Here is a 23,597-nt window from a genome sequence, read left to right on the forward strand (position 1 = left end):
GGCCAAATGAGTATATGGGCTTTATAACTCAAACTCAGTAAGAGATGTTGTGTATTCCCCACTCCTTTTTGATAATTTGAATTCAAATGACAAATACATGTATGCTTAGGATGAAAAAGTATGTCATAAAATACTAGGTTCACTGGACTACTTTTCACATTAGGCTCATTGAAAGTTTATCTAGAGAAGTCTAGGCACAGTGGCTCACGCCTGTAATCCCAGCACTTTGGGAGGCTGAGGCAGGTAGATCATTTGGGGTCAGGAGTTTGAGACCAGCCTGGCCAACATGGTGAAACTCCGTCTCTACTCAAAATACAAAAATTATCTGGGCATGGTAGCACACACCTGTAGTCCTAGCTACTTGGGAGCCTGAGGCAGGAGAATCCCTTGAACTTGGGGGGTGGAGATGGCAGTGAGCTGAGATCGTGCCATATAATTGGCTATAATTTGTAAGAATGTTGTCATCGAGTGTGTCACTTAAGGTCTTAGACTGTGAATCTAACCATATTTAGTGAAATGGCTTACTGTACAAAAAGTCTAAACCAAAGGTTCTCAGGGAACAAAGCACATGTGCAGTTTTAAAACAAAGCAGTGTTTTGTCCCATTGCTGTGATTTGTAGTAATACTTTACCCACTCTGAAATCCAATTAACACTAAAGGATTAAGTGTGAGATTTTGGTTTATGCTATTTCTGTATCTCATACTACTCCCTCTTTTTTTTTTTTTTTTGAGATGGAGTCTCGCTCTGTCGCCCAGGCTGGAGTGCAGTGGCGCGATCTCGGCTCACTGCAAGCTCCGCCTCCCGGGTTCACGCCATTCTCCTGCCTCAGCCTCCCGAGTAGCTGGGACTATAGGCGCCCGCCATCATGCCCGGCTAATTTTTTGTATTTTTAGTAGAGATGGGGTTTCACAGTGTTTAGCCAGGATGGTCTCGATCTCGTGACCTCATGATCCGCCCTCTTCGGCCTCCCAAAGTGCTGGGATTACAGGCGTGAGCCACCACGCCCGGCCCCCATACTACTCCCTCTTAATAAACAGTTTCCACTGATAATATAAAGGGCTGGTATAAAAATGTCTTTAAATGAGTAAGCTTTCTTTGGTAAAATTAAATCATACAAATTATTTTTAAAACCTTCTGATATATACAATATTTAGCCCAGTTTTCTAATTTTCTGGATGTAAAACAAAAGGTTTAACATACATTCCTTGAGCTGTTAGTGCTATTGAAATCTTTTGTCCCATTTAAGTCCTAAACACTTTTGGTTGGTTGAGTAGCATGTGAGTTTTTTTGGGTCTCATAGCATGCTTTTTGGCTTAATTTCAGGTTTATATATATAAATAAAGGAATTAAGTAAAAATAAAATTTGAGTTACTTTTTGAAAGCACCTGAAATCTTGGATTGGAATACGTTGTCTATTTCAAGTCTAAAGCTGTGGTTTTCCCCTTCTGCTTTACCCTTCTTCAAATGTTGTTGTAATGTAATTCTTTCCTGAGCTTTCCCTGTTTCCTTAATAATGCATAGGATGGCAATAAAAATAGTTTTAAATCTCATCCCTCCATGAGAGGTTAGCTCCCCAAGTATAAGCTCCTTTTGTATTGTACTTGTAATTGCTCATTCAATGTTGGTATTGCCCGGTAGACTGTAAGTTTCCTGAGGGCCAAGAATGCTTTTGCCTCTTCCATTGCTGCTTCCCGAGTACCTTCTGTATATTTCATAACCAAATAATGAAAATGATATATTCCATTTAAAGGGTCAAAAAAAGTTTGGAAAGAAAGTTTATGTGGGAAGAAAAGGTAATATACTGTTTTCCCACAGACATAACAGGAGAATTAATTTATATGCATGTGGAAGCTGTTCAGGAGCTACTCTTAGTTTGCTTTATGTATTTAAAGTTTGTTTTAAGTATCTTTAAGTCTTAAGTATCCCTATTTTTTTCCTCTTTTCTAGAATGATTTTGGAATTTCCACTTTTTGTTCTTGTCTACTTTGTGATTACCAAGTTCTCTAATGGTATTTGACAGTTCCCTTTGTTTTGATTTGTGACATATGATGGATAAATATAGTTAACAGATATAGAGGGGAAATTGTCACATTTAATACATGTAAACCTGTGATTTTAAAAAGAGGAACTACTCATATATATGTCTGTGATGAAACAAAAAATAGATTATCTCATATCTAGAAATAAGAAAAGGTTATTAAAATTCAGAGGAAATAAAGCTAGCAACCCTGCCTATACCAAAGAATATTTTGATTTTCATAGTGCCTTTCGTCAACTAAAGAAAGAAACTGAGGCAAATTAACATAAGTCGAGAATTTATTTGGGCCAAATTTGGGGACTGCAACCAAGGAGACACAGATTCAAGTTGCCATGAATATATGCTTTGATTAGCAGTAGTTACAAGTTGGCTTTCAATACTCATGTCTCTCTGGATCTGATACATTTTGCATACCTCACATAGCTCAGACATCTCTGAGCTACTTTTCTTCTCATTTCCCCTTTTTGATTGAGATCTTCCTCTTCTGAAAGCATTGATAATCAACATTTTAAACGTAGCTTTTCCCCATATTGCTAGGAAGGCTCATTCCCGGGTAATCTCTCTCTACATTGGAGGGAAAGAGGAGAGGCACTACAGCTTAAGAATTTAGTGAAGTCTTAGGCTAAATTAACTGGCAACACAAAGGGGCAGAGGAATTGGGTCTCAGGATTTCATCCACTTACAAAGGAAGTATGGCGTGTTGAATAATTTCTATGCATCTAGCTATCATGAGTTTAGTTTCTGTCAACAAACACTTTAGATAGAGAAATGCAAAGCATAATTGATTTAAGAATCAAAAATATGACACAAATAAGGACAATTACTAATTAAACAATTTGAAATCCAAATGTGAGAAATATTCCAATACCTGAAGGTAACCAGTCAAATAAATCATATAAGGGGTCTGTCTTTCCAACCATGGGTCATCTTGTAGCCATTTAGCCTTTTGAGTGATCTTTTTAAACTGAGTTTCAATTTCTTGTCCTGGTCTGAAGAACCAGGTGACTGGCTGCAGGTCAGCTTCAGTTGGAGATCTCTGATGATGGAAGATGCCTACTCACGCAGGGCTACCTTTTTAAAATGAGAAATGTAAATCCATGAGTCAATGCCTTTGAGTTTAGCTGCACAAGTATTGATAAGTAATACTTGATATAGCTTCTTCCAACATGATTACAGGGAATCCAAAAATCTCAAAGTTGGAAGCCATGATATTTGATGTCATAAACTCCCAAGAGCTTGCTGTTAAAAGAATCCTCAATTAATTTAGAATTTTTAGTGAAATGCTTTTTAATGCCTTGGCAATAATGAAGACTATCATCTTTAAAGAGAGCTGGTTTATAGACTCCTTCATCCAGGCACATGGGGCTTCCTGGTATCATTTCAAAGGGAAAAAGCTGATGTTTTCCAATTGGGTAGAATGTAAGTTAAGCAATAACAATGGAAGAGCCTTAGGCCAGGGAAAGTTAAATGTTTCTATAAGCTTTGTCAATTTATTTTCTTATTATCCCATTTGTGTGTTCTACTAGTCTGGAAGATGGAGGGTAGTATGTCCAATGGAAATGCTGAAAAATTGACCATATGTTACAAATAGACTGAGTTATTTGTCTAGTGAAATGGGTTCCTTGGTCACTGGGAAGACTGGAAGGAACTTTCCAAGATAGAAAAAGACAAGTATTAAAATGGCCATGGTTAAAGATGCAATTGACAAGGAAATTTGTGCATTTTCTTTTTTTGTTGCCTACAATTCAACATACTAATCATAATTATGACTGATAACATATACCAAGATATATTAGATTTTTAGTAATCTCATACAATTTTGGGACACACACATTTATACATATATAACTCAAAGCTAAATGCCATTTCTTATTTGACAGTTTTTTCTGTATGATTTTTTACATACTGAATAAGCCCAGTATCTCTCTTTGGAACTTCCAGGGGTTCTTTTTGGGATGTCCAAAAGTTAGTTCCTGATGAAATGACTTAATTTAGAATTTGAAATTTGATTTTGAGAAGTTTATTAAATATTAAAGGTTTAAAACCCTGGAGCAAAATGGAATAATTTATTTAGCCAAAGTGATGATTAAAATATTTCAAAAAGCAAAAAAACAAAATGAAACAACAATTCCTTATCTTTGATAGAGAGATTCAGTTTTCTAAACATCAAGACTTAATAAAGACAGCATGAGACCAATAGAATCTCTCTCTCCTTCTCTCCCTATTTTTTTTTTTTTGCAGTTTACTCAAAAGATGAAATCCTTTTACTACTTCTTATTAATACTACACAAAAATCTTATTCACAAGAGAAAACCAAATTCTACCTTTGTATTATTAATGGTGAAAGTAATTTTAATAAAACCCTACAAACAGATCTATCCAATCTCAATCAGCTTTAACCACACAAGATAAGATTTCTATAAAACTTTTATAACCTCTTACAATTTAATTCCTTCTTTCCCAGACTTTCTATATCCATTTAGTTTTTTTATTCCTTTAATTTAAAATAACCTTCAAATAACCTGTAAGCAAAATTACTTTTCCTTTAACCAAAACCATATTCTCCTGCCTTTCTTATAACCTTCTTTACCAAAAAACACATCCTTCTTTTCTTATGTACTCTGTGTACAAAAGAATTCTTTTGTATCTAGTAGTTTTAGTTACATATTAACTATAATTTTACCTCTTAGTGACTCTAATTTTCATTGAACAACCTAGTAAGTAAGAAATTTTAATTATGTATCAGGTGCAGAAGCTAGGACAAAGGACATAGCTGTGAAGACAATACCTAGAGACTCTTACCCTGCTCCAGCATGGTTATAAGGCACAACTGGGCCAGGGAAGACACATTGGGTTTGGCTCTGACATGCAGCTGGTGGCCTAAGTGCTGTCAACATACACATGTTTTCAGGCATCACCATGGCCACCTGTCTAGATGTCAGAATCTAAAGGCTCAAAACCAAAGACATAGGCTCACAAACAATTAAGCAGGTATAAAAAAAAATCATGGAAGCAACCATTTTAGGATGTTTAAAACATCTAGCAAAGACAGTATAAATTTGTCTTACCTGTAGACCCAGGTAAAAATATCTAAAATTAAATTTAATTTCGTCAATCTTGAAGACATTTCTATTCTGTTTTGCCAACAATTTAAAGACTAGTTTTGTTTACAAAGATTACTAAAGTCTTACGAATTTGAAAAGTGTTTAGTCTTATTTACTTAATTTATGAACACTCATTTCTTTATAAGTCAGTTTGGTACCATGTGGACAACATGCAAACACAGACATGTGCACATGTACACATAAAAATACAGATACACACAAATAAAATCTCATAACTTTGATTTTAAAATTCCAGCCATGAGACTGGTAAAATTCTCTAGTTTAAAAGAACAGTTAGATTAAACTATACCTCTGTAAATGGAACAGTTAATCAGTCCCCAGGGTAGCAAGTTTACATCTCAAAGCACAGGGAAAGAATTTAAGCTTTATTATTATTATTTAAGGAGTTTGGATGTATTACTTAGAGGAAGATTAAAAATGGATACCAAGGTAACACAAAAGCATAAGCATTCACCACAGGACTTTATAAGAGAACAATTTCATTTAGATAGGTAGCTTCTAATTTAGTCTCCATTTTCTAACTGGACCACTGAGCTCCGGGAGGAGCCCATTAACAAACAGTCCTGACAAAAAATTAGCAGTTTGCAGGAGGCAGAGCATCAAGGTCTTTAAAAATCAAGGATCTCATCTTTACACGAAATCCTGGGTCCCCCTAAAGAGGGAAATGCCTTGGGACGGGGCTACACAATGTTTCCACAGTGCTACTCACTACAAAGACATTCTCCTGGGGCTGGGGCGGTGGGTGACCCAATGCCATCAGCCCCCTCTGTGATCAGCCCATTTCCCAAGAGAGTTTTATCCCTTGGTGATGAGGGTTGCTATATCCTCCAAATGTTCAAACTGCACCTTTCTTATCTAAAGACACAAAGAAATGAGTGGCCCTCTGCAGTAATAACCATTCATCGTAACTGCTGTCAGCCCCTTCCAAAACTTCAGTTCTCGCCAGTGACTTGCCAGCTACAAAGAGGTCACAGAAAGATCAAGTTTCAGCTGATAGTACAAGGTAATCCCTGTTACTCCAAAAGCCAAAAAAAAATCAGGTAACTCAATGCAGAAGAGAACAAAGCTTTAGACCTGAGAGGAGCCTTCGTATGACTCTCAGAACTCCACAAGGATGACAGAAAACCTCCAAGCGAGGGGTGTGCATGGCACCTTTTTCTGTGTTTCTCAAGGGGTATCGGGATGTTAGAAGGCTCTTCTAGACTTCTTCATGTGGCACTGAAGATGGTAAAGGGAAGGAGGAGCAGAGTAGAAGGAAATGGAAGAGCAAGTCTTAGAGGAGCCAATTTGGGGAGAACTTTCTAAAAGGCCAATGAAGTTTTATATTTTTCTCAGCAAAAATCATGCCAGCAAGAAAGGAAGCAAACAGAGGGAGCAAGCATCCAATTAAAAAGGAGTTTTAGGAGTTTTAGTTGACTGGAAAAATTCCTGGAAATGGATCTAAAAGGGAGCAGAAATGCCTTGCTTTTAAACCATAGATGTTTTAACAAACAAAAACCTTCAAATCCCTTATAATCAGATTTCAGCCAGGACAAACAAAAAGTAGGCCTCTCATTCAATTTGTTTGGTTCTAAAATGTGATTTATTTTTCAATTGTGTGTGCAAATATATTAATTTAGGAATTTTAAATCACCCTCATTTTTGCCATTGTGATGGCCATTTGGGGGTCATCTTGAGTCATGTGGGTCCATTTACATAGGTATTTGCCAGATGGAGCTTCATAGGTATTACATGAAAACCCAGCTAGTGTTTCCAAGGGGGATTGTCCCTTCAGGGAAAGCTCAGTTTTGATGAGCAGTTTCCCATAATTTTAGAAATTCCTTTTCAAATATGACCAAGGCCAGGACAGTGTATCAGGTTGAAGTGTGCTGTTTTGTGAGTGTCACTTCTCAAAGAGTCACCAGAGAGTCATGACTTGCTTTTCATGTGTCTTGTAATCTCTGATCACCTTATGGTGGCAGAGTGTTCAAGACGCCAGGCAACCAGCCCTCGCACGTACCTTCTGGCTGAGCTGAAAGTCATCACAGGTATTCTTGCAGACAGGACCTATGATACTATGATACATCTTGAACAGATGTTCTGTATCTTCATAAAGTCTTTAGTCACCTACAGCACCCAATTGAGTTTGGAGGTAGCAAGTTTCTCTCAAATTTCAGGGTGAGAGAGCTCAACCTCATGCACCTTTTGGCTTAAAACTAGCAGGAATTGGTCACAAATAAAATGACAATTGTGAATCACAAGCAGTAAGAAGCAGCTACAATTTTAAAAGAATGTAATTTATGTAATTTCAGGCCAAAAAAGGGAAACTGGCAGTGTTAGACTGCCAATGCCATAACCTGAACCTCTTGCCATGAGCGGAGGCAGAGAAGGCAGAAATTTTCTGCAGAGTGGTGTGCTGCACCATGACCTGAACCTCCTACCATGGGGCAGAGGTAGGGAAGGTATTTCTCTGCAGAGGTTTTCACCTGAAGCTCCCATTCAGAGACGGAGACCAAAGCCTTCAGTCTTTAAAAACAAAAACAAAAACAAAAAAAAAAACAACAAAAAAACCCCAGCCCAAATAAAGCCTAGACCTCAACTGAGAAGAAAGAGGTTCAGATTCAGTAGGACTCACCTTTTGTACTCAGGGAAAGATGTGGAGACAGAGAAACACAGTAGGTTTGTGCTGGTGCTGAGTGCTGAGTCCAGGAGGGATCACTAGGTGGTCCAGGGTGTGAGGAGGTTGCTCTGAATCCTGACAGCTACACCAGATATGTTGACCTAAAGAAAGAAACTGGGGCAAAATTAATATAAGTAGAGAATTTATTTGGGCCAAATTTGGGGACTGTAACCCAGGAGTCACAGATTCAAGCTGCCCTGATGGTATGCTTTCATTAGCAGCAGTTACAACTGGATTTTAAAAGAAAAAAGGAGTGGTTTTTACATTGGTTCATTAAAATAACATAAGCTAGTGATTGGCTATACATATTATTCTTTGTATCACAAATTCTAGAACCATAAAGATAATGAGTGAGGGTCACATTGTGCAACTTGTGATAACATTTTAGGTAATTTATCAACTAGTCTGGAAACTGCAGAGAAGCAAAGAAAGAACAAAATGCCTTTAAATAATTGCCCCTGGGAATGGGTGCACCAGGAGTGTGCTGAAGTTTCATACTCATGTCTCTCTGGGCCTGATTAATTTTACATACCTCACATAGCACAGACCGCTCTGAGCTACTTTTCTTTCTCACTTTCTTCTAAGGAGATCACAAGTATTTCATGTATTACCTTATGTTCATGACATTCTTACTATTGTATATCTGCTTTATATTGTGGCATTGAAGGTTCATCTCCATGGTGGCAGAGATGAACATGACTCTGAGAGCAATGACTTTCCCATCAATCATGAAAGACATATTTATTCACCACCATTCTGTATTAGGGATCCTATTGTGTACTGAGTTACTGCAGTACCCACAAGGGAGTCTCTGAAAATTCTGACCCCCAGGACCTCTATAGGGCACACTTGGCATCAGATTTAATTGGAAAAGCATAAGGCAAGCCATGCAGCATGCCAGAATGACAGCATCAGGCACCCCTTTTTAATAAGACTTCTTGCAGAAGTCCTCACACCAATCAAAAAGCAAATCTCTGGCTTTTAAGTTGACAGTTAAGGTGCAAGGAGATGAGACATGTACATATGGTCCATCTTGGCTTAGAAGCCTTGTGTCTCCAATAAGATCCTGTATTTCTTACAATGTTTGAGGCATCAATTCCAGAGTCCCTGCAGTGAGCCTGCCCAGCTGTGAGAGTCATCACACTTAGGGATCCCAAAGCTATGGTTTCCCACTAAGTATTTATAGTTTATATATAGTTTCTCTCCTGTCAGATGCAATTTGTCATTTTTTTAATCATAAGAAATATTGCCTAGTAGCAATATTTTCATCCTACCCTTTGCAGATCTCCAGGGAAACAGTGCTATAAAGTTAACCCAAGGTCAAGTTTGTTCATATAGGACAAAAGATTTTGTTAATGCTTTAACCACAGATAATGCAGTCTTTTTTATACTATTAGGACTAGGTCACAGGTTTAGCAGATCTTATTAGTTACTGATCAATTGACACATTTTCTTTGGTTCTTGATAAAATGAAGTCAGTTACGTTTAATTTACTAGCTAACAAAAATATTTTCCAACCTTTTTGTCTTATAAATAAAATCCTGTTGTACTGTATTTTGTATTTACGACTATAGGAAGAGATAGAATTAGCTCTTGGCATTTGTCTGATAGAACAGATCAAATGCAGGGCAGAATGCAGCCCCACTGTTAGGAATTCCTAGTGAGTTAAAATGTAATCCAGAGTGAAACAACCTCCAATGTATAATCTTGACTCTCCATTTACATCTAAAAAGGCGCAGATGACGACAGATCTTTCCAGGCATACAGAAAATACAGACATACCCCAACAGTATTTCTCTCAGTTTAACATTTTTCCATCAGAATGCCTTGTGACTTTTTATATCTGAACTTCATAAAGCGTACGCATCTCTTAGCCGATGCACGTTTAGGACAAATTTATATTTGTGCCTATAAAATGTGATATGGTATGTATTTTTTAATGTATAATTTTCATGTGATAAAATGTGTAGATTTTAAGTATATTGTTCAATAACAAAATGAATATACCATAACATTATAATAGCAACATAACCCTACACCATTGTCAATAACAATGTAAGCTACATCATTGTTGAGATATGAAACATTTCCAACACTTTATAGTAAATTCCCTTATGCCTCTTCCTGGGCTCTTTTCTCCTCATCCTGAGATAACAACTCTTAATTTCCATCAATATCAATTAGTTTTACCTATTCTGAGCTTCATGTAAATGGAATCAAAGTGTATGGTCTTTTCTGTGTCTGTCTTCTTTTGCTCAACATGTTTTTGTGATTGATCTATTGTATACATCAGTAGTTCATTCATCAATGTATGAATATACCACAATTTGTTAATCTCCTACCTATTGTTGGACCATTGTGCTATTTCCAGTTTTAAGCTATTATGAATATGGCTGTGATAAATATTTTTGTATGAGCTTTTTGTGGACATGTTTTCACTTCTCTTGAGTAAATACCTAGAGTGAAATTTCTGGGTCATAGAGTAGGTACATGATTAACATTGTAAGAACCTTCCAAACAATTTTCTGAAGTAATTTCCATTTACCTATATCATTTTGTGCACTAATACACACATCTTTGCTTGCATTAGGTGTTGTCAAACTTTATTTTTAGCCATTCTAGTATGTAAAGCTTCAGAAGAAAGAAACACGGCGATAACTTTGTGACCTTGAGGTAGGAAAATATTTCTTAAACAGGACATAGAAATCACTAACCATGAAAGAAACAATTGAATTATTGGATTATAAAATTCAAAACTTCTATTCCTTGAAACACATGGTTAAAATAATGAAAAGCAAATCACAAACTGAAGAAAAATGTTCACAATACATATGCTTGACAAAGGACTTGTATCCAGTGTCTAGAAAGAACTCATCTCTCAGTAATAAAAATACTTGCAATTGGGCTGGGCACAGTGGCTCACGCCTGTAATCCCAGCACTGTGGGAGGCCGAGGCAGGTGAATCACAAGGTCAGGAGATCGAGACCATCCTGGCTAACATAGTGAAACCCTGTCTCTACTAAAAATACAAAAAATTAGCTGGGCGTGGTGGCGGGCGCCTGTAGTCCCAGCTGCTCTGGAGGCTGAGGCAGGACAATGGCATGAACCCAGGAGGTGGAGCTTGCAGTGAGCCGAGATCGAGTCACTGCACTCCAGCCTGGGTGACAGAGGGAGACTCCGTCTCAGAAACAAACAAACAAAAAAAACCATGCAATTGAATTTAAAAAAAGTTCAAATTACTTGAATAGACATTTAACAAAAGAGGATATACAAATACATGACAGGCACATAAAAAGATGTGTGACATTATTATCAGTGAAGTTAACAATTAATAATAAAATAATTTCAGTGAAACAATGGGAGTTTTTAAGTAATTTCAGCCACAGCATCCAAGTCACATGTTGATATTTTGAAAAATTCTTGAGGCTTCAAAAAGAAGATGTTTAGTATTTTGTTATATACCACATAAGCGATTATGAGGTATATTAATTTATTGGTTATTAAGAAGTATGTTCCTCTTGAGCATTTTACCCCCTAACAAGATGTTTTATTGAGTTTTAGTTATGTTTGAGGAAATTGGCTGTCGGTTATGGTTGACATATTCTGCATTATAATTTTTCCCATGTAAAATCATGATAATTAGGCTCCCAGTTAGCATTTTTTCAATAGAACTAACCAAGAACAGATTACTGAAATTAAGACAGAGATGACGTATTGATTGATTGATTAATTGAATTGTACATTTTAAAGGAAGAAAGTATTTAAAGAATTCCAATGCTTTTTTTTAGGTGTTAAATATTTCTTAAAATAATCTAATAAACAATCTAAGTTTTGTCTAAGGCTTCTCCAGAAAAAAAAGAGCCTGTGTACACTAAATGTCTTCTATTAAATAAAAGTGGTTGGTCAACTTGAAGAGGCCGCCAGGATTCAGGAAATGGGTAGGCTTCTAATTTACCTCTAGAGTAGGTTTCTCAATCCTGGTATTAATGACATTTTGGCCCACATAATTCCTTGTTGTGGGGGTTGTCTGGCATCGAGTGATGTTTAGCAGCATCTTTGGCTTCTACCTACTAGTTGCTAGTTGTGACACCCTCACTTGTGACAACCAAAACTATCTCCAGACTTTGCTAACTGTCATATGGGGAGGAGACCCCCTATACCCAAACCCCATTGAGTAAAACTACTCTAGAGTTTATCTTAACTATAGGTCCATTTTGTATTAATCCATTCTCACACTGCTATAAAGAACTACCCGAGGCTGGATAATCCATAAAGAAAAGAGGTTTTATTGACTCACTGCCCTGCAGGCTGTACAGGAAGCATGACTGGGAGGCCTCAGGAAACTTACAATTTTAAACCATTAGAACTTGTGAGAACTCACTATCACAAGAAGAGCAAGGGGGAAATCTGCCCCCATGATCCAATTACCTCCTACCAGGTCCCTCCTTCAACACTGGGAATTACAATTCAACATGAGATTTGAGGGGGAACACAGAGCCAAACCATATCACACATCAATGGCTAATAAATCTGTTCTGAGTCCTCTAGACTTTGATTGACTCATGAGTGGACTAGAAATCTTTGGATTGTACTGAAGAATATTGACTGGAATCACCTTGGTGACCCAAACCAATTAGAATTAAATTTAATCTAATTTAATTAGAATTCAATTAGAATCAGAACATGCCTCAGAGGGAGGGCCAGGCATGGGGAAAGTAGCAATTCACTTTAATTTCAACTTAGAGTTGAAACATTTCAGCCAATAATTTGTTATTTTTTTAATGAAACCTGTTATAGTTCCACAAAAAGAACTCTCAATCCTCTTACAAATGGAGTAAACTCCTTTGTACCTATTGTAAGTGTAATTTTCATAGGCCTTAAAGTCATACATACAAACTAGGTAATATTTTATTTTTGGGTAATTGAACTTAGTTTCTATTATATGCCCTATTTCCCCTGATATTGTAATGCAAAATCTAGTCATTTCTAGATGGATTTAGCCTTTGTCATACTTTTGTCATGTCATCCTTTGTCTTGTAACTTCAAGTTTAAAATCATGTCATTTCTGGACTTTGCCTTTGCCTCCTGCTCTTCAGGGTGGTATTCCTGTTCCCTAGTTTATTCTAGACAGGATGGAGGTAGGGAGTCAGGGAAAAGGGACCTGTTCTTCCGTGGTCATGGTATTTGTCAGTCTTCCAGAAGGCCACCTCCTGAAATCTCTGCAACTGTGAGCGCCTCAGCTGCATAATGCCCACTTGCATTTGGGTTAAAAATTCTAGACCCTTGGGTCCTAAGCTGTCTCTTTCAAGTACCTTCTGAGCCCTGCTTGGGGAAGTGGGAGGTTTATTTGTCCACTTCTCACGGGTGACCTTAAGGTAGGATCAGAGCCGTCATCAGAGTCTCTTTGCCCCTCGATGTCACACCGAGCCACATCTAACTGTTGGCCCAATGTAACTGACCATTTTTGCTCTGATGCTGGGGTACTAAGTTGATGTGGTAGATCTAGAACACACTTTTTCCAACCTTCTCTCTCCTCAAACTATACACTAGGGAAGAGTAAGGTTTCAGTCTTCCCTCATGTGCATTTAACCCTTTTGCTGCTCCTCCATGAATTATTTTCATCCTATCAGGACGCTTTCACCTACTGGGCACCTAAACTTGCGTGGAGATGAAGGGTGTAACTTCTTTCTGTAAGTACTCTTCCAAAGTCTTTGCTGTTCTACAACATTGCTGTTTGAAGCTAAAAGCAAAAAACATGACATCCCTTTTATTCTGTTCTGCAGTAATTTTTCCTTTCCTGAGTTTGAAAATACCTTAGAATAAACAGGATGAAGGAAAGGTCTTTGGGAAACAAGAAAATTATCATAATTAAAAAAAACACATTTCAATTTTTTTGTCATGATATATGAACATACTCCTTCCTCTCCCTCCATCCCAGAACCAGTCAGATGCCAACATCTTCTTAATTTTATTTCATGCAGCTGGCTCTTCTCTTGCATTAGTGTGGCTAGCCCCTTCCACTCTCAACCTACTACATTTTGCAGTAGGTTGCTGGCTAGGCTCTGGCCTCACACTCTTATTTGCATCCTACACACTGAATATAGGTGAATCTTTCTAATAAATAGTACAAAAACCTTTAATGACATTATGTTGCCTCTGAGCTAGGTTGCATTTATATCCTGCATAATCTGACACCAACCTGTTTTATAAGAGTGACCTCTCATTTCATGAATCTCTAGTTTATTTATGTAGAAATAAACACTGAGGTCTTAATATGTTTCAGACACCATGCCAGGCACTGGGGAATGAATGAAAGATTTCAGTCACTCAGGTCGAAAGATTCTTGATGATAAGAACCAGTGAGGAACTGAGGAAACAATGGGAATCCTAATTACTTTGCTAGGTTTCATGCCTCTGTGCATTTTTCTAATATAACCAGGGCTGGGGAAGGCAGAAGTCAGAGAAAATTTCCCAGGGAAGATGAAGAGGAATTATTAAAATAGAGAAAGATAAGGAGTGTGTTCAGGCATGGTTCTCAGCAACAGTAAACAATGAAGGTATGAAATATTATAGTTTACATAATAGCATTTGTTTTTTGGTTTGATGACCCAGCATCTGAACATCCTTCCTGCATTGGATAATTCTCTATTTTATTAAAGGGAAACGATTTCCACTGTAGAAACCGAAGATACCAATGTGAAACTAGGGCATGAGCACACGACTTAGGTTCCATGAATTAGATGGAGACTCCCTAGACTTTGAATTGAGGGTAGTGATACCAAAAAAATCAAAACAAAACACAATCCATTCTGGTGAGCTTGGCAGCCGTGGTGGGAGGTACATGCCCTTTCCAGAGACCCTAGTAGTGGTGCCATGTTTGGTATCAGTAGGTCAGCCACGCAAGCTGCAGTTTCTGGGTCTAGCAGGAGGGGTGGTGGGGTTTCCAATGCACCAGTTCTGTGGTGTGATTTGAAAAATGATATTATTTAGATTTTGCTGCATAACTGATCATCCCATAACTAAGTGGTAAGTCGCAAAGACTCTCTTCTTGACTGAACTTTAGATAAGCTCTTCTGAGTTCTGTTTTTGACCATGCCCCAGTGTAGGCTTATAAAAACTGCAGACTCTCAGCATAAATGATTTTTGTCTATTTTCCATACTCCACTCCCACACTAAAATTTTTGAGCAAAAATTAATATAGTTTCTAGCAGCTCAAAGCTACATTCCTAGAATGACCCTAGCCCCTTAAACTGCTCACCTTGGAAAGCTCAAGACTGATCCAGTCCAAACCAGTAATAAACAGGCCCCTGAACCCTCCCCTCTTAGAGCAGTTGTAGTTTAGGAAGCTTGCAGTTGTAATTCCTTTCTCTTCCCCTTTGCGATGTAGATCTTCTACCACCCAAAATTAACATTCAGGGAAATAATTCCCCCTCTGGTGCCCAGCCCCGTGGCACCTTGCCTCTAATTTACACCACTGCCTTCTGCCATATAAATATAAGAAGTTTGCTTCTCCTTTAGATAAGCACCAATTAACAAGATCAGTTTCTGCTTAAGCCCCTGCTCATTCCCCCTTCCTTAGTCCCTCATTGTCCCTTTAACATGCCCAGTCACCTCTGCACAAATCAAAGTTCAGTTCATGTTGGAACCTCTTTCCCTTTGCAGTGATAATTACGGAATAAAGTTTATTCTTAGTGCTTTAACCAGTGTCTAACCAGTGTCTGGATTTATCTTTGACACAAGTCATCTCAGAACTTAGTAACTTATATTTAGCTTATTTATGATCTTGTGAAAACAGCAGTTTGAATTGGGTTTAACTGAACAGCTCTGGGCTCATTCATGTGTTTGGAGTTGGCTGCTGGTCGATGAGGCAGCTCTGTTTCTGTGGTTTGGCTGACTGTCAGCTGAGGCTATGGGGATGACTGGACCGCATGTCTCTATCACCGAACAGTCCAGCCCAGGGTTGTTCACATGACAGGTCAGCAGGGTTCCAAGAAGTAGAGCTCCTGTGAAGTCTACATTCAGAACTGATATAACCATCACTTCTGCCACATTCTTTTGGCCAAAGCAAGTCACAAGGCCAGCACCAAATCAAAGGGTAAAGAAACACCCTACCTCCTGATGGGAGGAACTTCAAAGTCACATTGTTAAGGGATGTGGATACAGGAAGAAAAATGATGGCAGGTATTTTGCAGACTATCTCTATACAATTGTACCCGCTGTGCAGCCTCCAAGCTTGATTCTTTGGGCCAGGTTTTGGAGCCTCCTTTAATCTTTAATGAAGTCTTTCTTACATCCGCCTAAATTGTTTCTGTGGCTTACAATTAAACATCTTGTTGAATATTCTGAGTCGCACATACATTCTCTCTCTCTCTTCACACCATGACTCTTTCCTATAATGTTTAGAGCAGCGCTGTCCAATAGATGTATACAAGCCTTAATATAACTTAAAAAATTTGGGTAGCCATATTTGAAAACATGAGAAGAAACAAGTGGAATTAATATTAATACTATATTTTATTTCACCCAATATATCCACAGTGTTATTTCAACTAATCAATCTACAAATTATTATATCATGAGATACTTTACTTTTTTTTATTCTAAGTTTTTGAAATCTCTTGTAAAGCTTACACTGTCAGCACCTCTCAATTTGAATTGGCTGCATTTCAAGTCCTCAGTGGCCTCTACAGGCTACCATATTTAGGACATTGTTTTTCCCCAGAGTGAGTCATTGCTTAGATCTGGATATCTGATTCACAAGTAAAGAATGACACTACTGAAGAGGCATAGGAAACGAAACCATCATATACTAACCATGAATTTTATACTGGACTCTTTTTTTTTTTTTGAGACAGAGTCTTGCTCTGTCGCCAGGCTGGAAGGCTGGAGTGCAGTGGCGCGACCTCAGCTCACTGCAACCTCTGCCTCCTGAGTTCAAGTGATTCTCCTGCCTCAGCCTCCCAAGTAGCTGGGACTACAGGCGTGCACCACCACGCCCAGCTAATTTTTGTATTTTTCTTAGAGATGGGGTTTGACCACGTTGGCCAAGATGGTCTCGATCTCTTGACCTCGTGATCCACCTGCCTTGGCCTCCCAAAGTGCTGGGATTACAGGCGTGAGCCACTACACCTGGCCACAGGGCGCTATTAAAAGCACTTTAACTAATATCTTAGTTTGGGTTCTACCCCTAGCAGAGCTTGAGACACGCATTTGGGTGAAAATAATTTATTTGAGGAATGATTCCAGGAAGCCAATTAAAGATATATTATTGAGCCAGTTATTGCTATGGAGAACTGGCTCAATTCCATGGACCCCTCAGGGAGCCATATAGAATGAATTTCAGAATTGTTCCTCTGAAGAACAGAAGACTGAGGCATTTATTTACTGACCCCCATTTCTCACTGGCTGAGGGTTGTGCCCATGGATGTTAGTGCCCCAACGTTTCTGGACTGTCCTATATAAGGCTGAGGAATCTTATAGCTTCAGAACGAGTCCTGAGGCAGAAAAGCTGAGCAATAAGGCAAACATCTGGCATAAGGTTTTTCCAGTATGTATGGGAATTGTCTGCCACCAGTTGGAACTGGAATCAGTGATGGGGCAGGCACATGGCAAAGCCTCTGCTATGCATACATTGTACAATTGTCTTCTTTTGTTCAGGCTGCTATAACAGAATCCCATAAATTGGGTGGTTTATAAACAACATGAATTCATTTTTTACAGTTCTAGAGGCTGGGAAGTCCAAGAGCAAGGCACCAGCATATTTGATATATGGTGAAGGTTCATTTCCTGGTTCATAGAATGGTACCTTCTTGCTGTTTTCTCACATGGTGGAAGGGAAGAACTCTGGTCTCTTCAGACCCTTAAAAGGGCATAATCCCCCTATGAGGGCTCCAACCTTATGACCTAATCACCTTCCAAAGGCCCCACATCCTAATGCCTTCACATTGGGAATTACTTTTTAACATATAAATTTGGGGGGAACCCAAACATATTTTTCAACAATACTTGTAAAACAGACATTATAATTTCCAATTTAAAGAGGAAACTGAGTATAATAAAAATTCCAATAGTATTCAAGATGATATACTCTTAAGTGACAGAGTGTGTTTCTTCACAAATATGACTTATTACAAGGTCCACAAAGAACATATTTTTTGGGATTTTTTTTTCCTTTTGGGGGAAATGTCCAGAGATTTTTTTTGGCTTGTGTATTTATTTATTATTTCAGAAATTTAGACAAATCTACAAAGTAGGCTTTGTTTGAGTTATCTTTAATCAGTTTTTTTTTGAAAGGGTACTGCCATAAAACAGGGTCTCATAAGAATGTGGTATATATATTTAAAAAAATACACATTTGCTATTGTGCTTGTTATATTTTCTGACCTTCAAAAAGAAATTTCCAATAAATTTTGTAAGCTCACTTATTTCCGTCATTCACTGCTGAATTTCTAGTGCGGAGCTCATTTTCAAGTCGATATTACGTACAGCAGATTCTCCCTAAATGAAAGGGACTGAACACACCACAGACTGGACAGCTCCCATTATCTGAAATAGCCATAAGCGGCTTTAATGCTGGAGATTTAGTTTAAAGGATTGTCCTCCTGGAAGACTGGCTGCAGTTGTTTGTGAGGCAGAACAAATTATAAAATGATTATGGCTTCAGAGATGTATGTTTCTAAATGATTGCTTCGCCAGTCCATAAAATGTCTGCTTTTAAAAAACAGGTGAAATCTGAGAGCCTTAAGAGATTGGATCTTTGGGATATTATTAAAAATGTCTTTATAGGGTCTGGATGCAACGCCACCGGAGTATATAACTTACCAAGAATGCTGACAGGAAGTCATCAGCATAAAGAAAGAAAAGCAAATTTAAAGATGAAAAAGAAAAGCCTTAAGAATGAACTTAGAATATAAACCTAAGCTAGAAAAACAGTTGGAAAAGTTCAGCCCAAACTGTTAACCATATTTTCCTCTGCAAAGTCTTTAGAATTGGGGATAGTCATGGGTGTTTGCTTCTGTATTTACTTGAATTTTTCAATACACAAACATGTATCGTGTACAATTTGTGCAATTAAAAATAATCTTAAAAGAAGATGCCAGCCAGGTGTGTGGCTCATGCCTGTAATCTCAGCATTTTGGGAGGCCAAGGTGGGCAGATCACTTGAGCTCAGGAGTTCAAGACCAGCCTGGGGCAACATGGTGAAACCCTGTCTCTACAAAAAATACAAAAATTAGCCAGGCATGGTGGTACACACCTGTAGTCCCAGCTACTTGGGAGGCCGAGGTAGGAGGATTGCTTGAGCCTGGGAGGCAGATGTTGCAGTGAGTCAAGATCATGCCACTGCACTCCAGCCTGGGTGACAAAGTGACACTCTGTCTTAATAAAAAAATAAGAAAATAAAAAAATAAATATAAAGAAAGAGCCATTAATAGACTGAGTTTTCAGTTTTATCATGTTATTTTGCCTCCAATCTAACTTACAAGTCTAATAACACATAGTAAGTATTCACTAGACATTCACTGAAGAGGGAATCCTCAGAATTTTTGATGTCATCAACAGTTTCATTTTGCAGTCAGGGATATATTTCAGCTTCTCAGTGTTTTCTAAAAATGTAAATTTTACTGTTAAATATGATTTTATGCCTGCCAGACTCCTTCTATGCAATGAAAGATACGGTGCCTTGTACTAACAGTCCCTTATCAGAAGCTTTCTAGAAATCACAATTATGAAAAGCTACCTGAAACAGAGAATAAATATTTGACCAGAGGAAACTAAGTTTTTAATATTTTGTTATCTCCCCTGATCTATTCATGTATTTAAAAATACTTGTTCTTATTATGAAAGTCATAATAAGACTTTTTTGGGGGTCTTGCTTGGCCTGTTTTATTGGAATTGCCTCTCTCTCCCCAATATTTGGCTGAAGTAATGGGGTTGGGTGGCCAGTGGCTGCCATATTTTGATTAGTTGACTTCCTACTCCTGTTTCCAGCTAATTGAACAAAACAGGGAATCTTGATCCAAGCTGAGCCAACTAGCTTGTCTCTTGTGGATTCTATCTAAGAAGAATAAAGATTCAGTCAGGCGATGGTGGTTTCTGGGAATATGGGCTAAGATAAGAGCAGCCATATTGGGGGCCATGCGTTGTTTGTCAAGCACAAGGACTCAAGGGAATGCAGATGCCCAGAAGGAAACATACACAGGAGACAACACACTCAGTGAGAGAAAAGATGAAGAGAATTGCCATGTTTTATTGCTTTCAGATTTAAATTTCTTGTGGGACCTGGCTCTACTACTTTCTCTTTAGTTATATGGGATGGTCCTGAATACTAATTGACTTAAGATAGGTTAATTTTGAGTTTTGCAAAAAAATTTAGAGAATATGGATATGGAAGAAAATAAAAACTGCCCATAAAAACATAGCCACCCATACATGTCTTTAGTGTGTTTTTATTCTATAGGAATGCTATAATATGCTTCTATGTAAAATTTCCTATCTTTTTAAAATAAAATTATGAACATGTTCATATTTTGTTAATTCCAATCTTGGTAAATCTCGCTCTTAGTTTATTAAGGTCTGTCTCTGTGTGGCTAAATGTGCCTGGGAAAAAATATTACCTTGCTGACTGGTTGAATTTTGAATTCATTGTTATTAATCACAAGTGGATGCCTGGCACCATACTGCAATTTCCTAGTCCTCCACTTGCCCATCGCCCAGAGACTATTTTCTTTTCTTTTCTTCTTATTTTTTTTGAGACAGAGTCACACTCTGTCACCCAGGCTGGCATGCAGTGGTGCGATCTCAGCTCACTGCAACTTTCCCTCCCAGGTCAAGCGATTCTGGGCCTCAGCCTCCCCAATAGTGTGACTACAGGCAAGTGCCATCATGCCTGGCTAATTTTTGTATTTTTAGTAGAGACAGGGTCTCACCATGTTGGCCAAGCTGGCCTCGATCTCTTGGTCTCAAGTGATCTGCCCACCTTGACCTTCCAAAGTGCTGGGATTGCAAGCGTGAGCCATTGCGCCCGGCTGGAGGCTATTTTCTTCTTGTTCCTCTTTCCTCAGTACCTCCTCCCTGTTCCTTATTCTTTGCTGTGACCTTGTTTCCCGTTTTACTGGGATAATAAAAGCCACTAGAAAACATGTCCTGCATTTTGCTGCCAGCATTGCTACCCACCCGCTTGCTCTGTGCCCACATACTCTGCTTTTCACTAGCAGCAAGCTCTCTACACTCCAGCCCTCTCCACTCCTTCACCAGTTTCTATTCTCTCTCATGTATTCGAGGACATCACATCAGCAGCAGGCATCTCTCTTCTTGTAACATCATGTTTTCTCTATTGCTTCATCATTTCCATGAGCTTATAAATGCTATTATTTTTCCTATCTTAAGAGAGAAGACAATTTTCCAGACTCTTTATTCCCCTGCAGTTACTGGATCACTTCTCTGCTCCTGTAAAAGGCAACTCTTCTCAATAGTTATATCTACTTGATATCTGCAATTTGCTTGTCTCTCATTTTCTAATCAGGCATTCATTCTCGTGCCTCTTACAAAACAGCTCTTGTCAAATTGCTATTGACTTTCACATAGCTAAAACCAGCGATGGTTGTTAGTTTTCATCTTACTTGAACTGTTGGCAGCATTTGACAGAGGTGATCTCTGTCAAGGTCTTGCTTTACTGGCCCCCTCCTTTTAAGGCTTATTTGCTTGTCCTTTTATCTATTTCTAACCTCTAACCATTGGTGTGCCCTGAACAATGTCTCAGGTCTCTTCTATTTATTTTCTACACTCACTTTCTAGGTGATGTCAGCTAGTACAATGGTTTTAAATACTATCCATATATTAAGGACTCTCAAATTGATTTCTTATGCCCAGACCTCTCTCCTGAACTTCAAATTTACATACTCAAACTCCTATTCAGAATTTCATCTTGGATGTTTAATAAGTATCACAAATCTCTAAATAGTCAATGGCCCTAGGACTCAAATCTTAGAACTTTCCTCTTTAAAATGATATTATTGAGATGTAATTCACATGGCATACAAATCAACCATTTGAATTGTACAATTCAAGGGCTTTTAGTGCATTTCAGAGTTATTCAACCATTACCATAATCAATTTTAGAACATTCTCATTATCCCCCTTAAACCCATCTTGGACATTTCATATATATGTAATCATATAATATGTGGTCTTTTGTGTAAAGACTTTAGAGTGTTCTAATTTGTTTTATGCAATTTTTTTTTTTTGCAAATTTGACTGCATGAAAGTGCATTATCACAATGTTGACCTTGTGTGTGAGACATTGCACATGTACATAAAAACATTGAAACTTCCTCAATAAATGAAGGGATGTCCTTTTTGTACATCTGCATTTGTGAAAGATAAAACTTCTTGAGATCTCAACTCTCTAGGCGATTACATATGTAGTGGTGACACATTGTGGTTTCTTATCGATCTCATCAAAAGACATAGGTCATCTGTCATGGTATTTCAGATGACCACAGTTATAAAACTGGATGCACACAATTACCAACCATAGTGATATGCGTTTATACATTTTCTTTTGGACCTATTTATGAATATGGTTCATCTGCTTATAACTGTTATACCCATGTTTCTGTTGTTAGTATATCTGAGTTCTTATGCTTATAAAAATGTTATTGTTGCCTATTTTATTGTATAAAGTGGCAACTTTATACAACTTTATCATGTATTTTATTGTATACTATGAAGTATTCTGTCATGTTTTTATATGTTGCTCAAATAAATCTTTTTTACAAGCATAAATAATTTTCTTTTAAAGAAAATTAAATTTTTTTCCAGAATTATATTTTTAGAATTTTCAATTTTTAAGATTGTGATTTCTGATATTATGGTGTTTAGAATTATGTCTTTTGGTATTATGGCCCAACTCTAGTTTTTGTGACTGGCTTCTTTTGTTTAACGTGTTTTCAAGGTTCATCCACATTGTAGTATGTACAAGTACTTCATTCCTTTTAATTACCAAATAATATTCTATTGAACAGCTATACCATACTTTATCCATTCACCAGTTGATGATAATTTGGATTGTTTCCATCTTTTAGCTACTGTGAATTCTTCTTCTGTAAACATTCATGCACAAGATTTTGTGTGGACACATGTTTTCACTTGTCCTGGATATATACCTAGGAGGGGAATTGCCAAATCATATGGTAACTCTGTGTATAGAGGAATTGCCAGACTATTTTCCAAAGTGGCTTGGAATTCTTCTATTGGTGCTCACTGCATTGGTGCATGGCATCTAGGCCATGGTTTTAAATATCATCTCTATACTGAAGTCTCACAAACTTGCCTCTGAACTCGAGATCCACATGACCCATTCATTGCCCACCCACATATCCATCACCTAACTCCTGACTTTCCCCTTCACCTCACACCCCTGACCTCAAGCCTGCTTCTCCTCTTATCTTCTTCTCAATTAATGGATTCCCTTCTTCCAGTTGCTCAGGACAAAAACCTCAGAGTTGCTCTTGACTCCTCTCATTCTATCCCATCCCATATCTAATCTGTCAGCAAATCCTGTTTGCTCTACTTTCAAAATACTGTCCCCACTCCCTGTCTGCAGTAGCTCCTCTGCTACCACCCTCATCCAAATCACTCTCACTTCTTTATCACATTGTTGCAACAGCCTCCTAACTTGCCTTCCAGCTCCAGCTTGATTACCCTTCAGTCTATTCTCAACAGAGTATTCTGGATGAACTTTAAATAACTCTAATTGCTTTCCATTTGAGACTA

At 38.0% G+C, this 23,597-nt stretch overlaps 2 long non-coding RNA genes across 2 annotated transcripts in view; one reads left to right on the forward strand and one right to left on the reverse strand.

Annotated features, from left to right (window-relative positions):
• Positions 1-23,597, forward strand: part of LOC124900465 (uncharacterized) — a 145,830-nt gene that overhangs the window by 87,422 nt on the left and 34,811 nt on the right. The gene's annotated exons all lie outside the window — the stretch shown is intronic.
• The window catches only part of LINC03147 (long intergenic non-protein coding RNA 3147), a 49,937-nt gene continuing 29,295 nt past the window's right edge, over positions 2,956-23,597 (reverse strand). The window contains exons 2-3 of the long non-coding RNA NR_024354.1: positions 7,779-7,937; positions 2,956-3,110 (exon numbers count right to left, since the gene is read on the reverse strand). This is a non-coding gene — a long non-coding RNA (long intergenic non-protein coding RNA 3147). The remainder of the gene's footprint in view (positions 3,111-7,778; positions 7,938-23,597) is intronic.

This window comes from Homo sapiens, chromosome 21 (genome assembly GCF_000001405.40).
Source record: "Homo sapiens chromosome 21, GRCh38.p14 Primary Assembly".
Taxonomy (NCBI): Eukaryota; Metazoa; Chordata; class Mammalia; order Primates; family Hominidae; genus Homo; species Homo sapiens.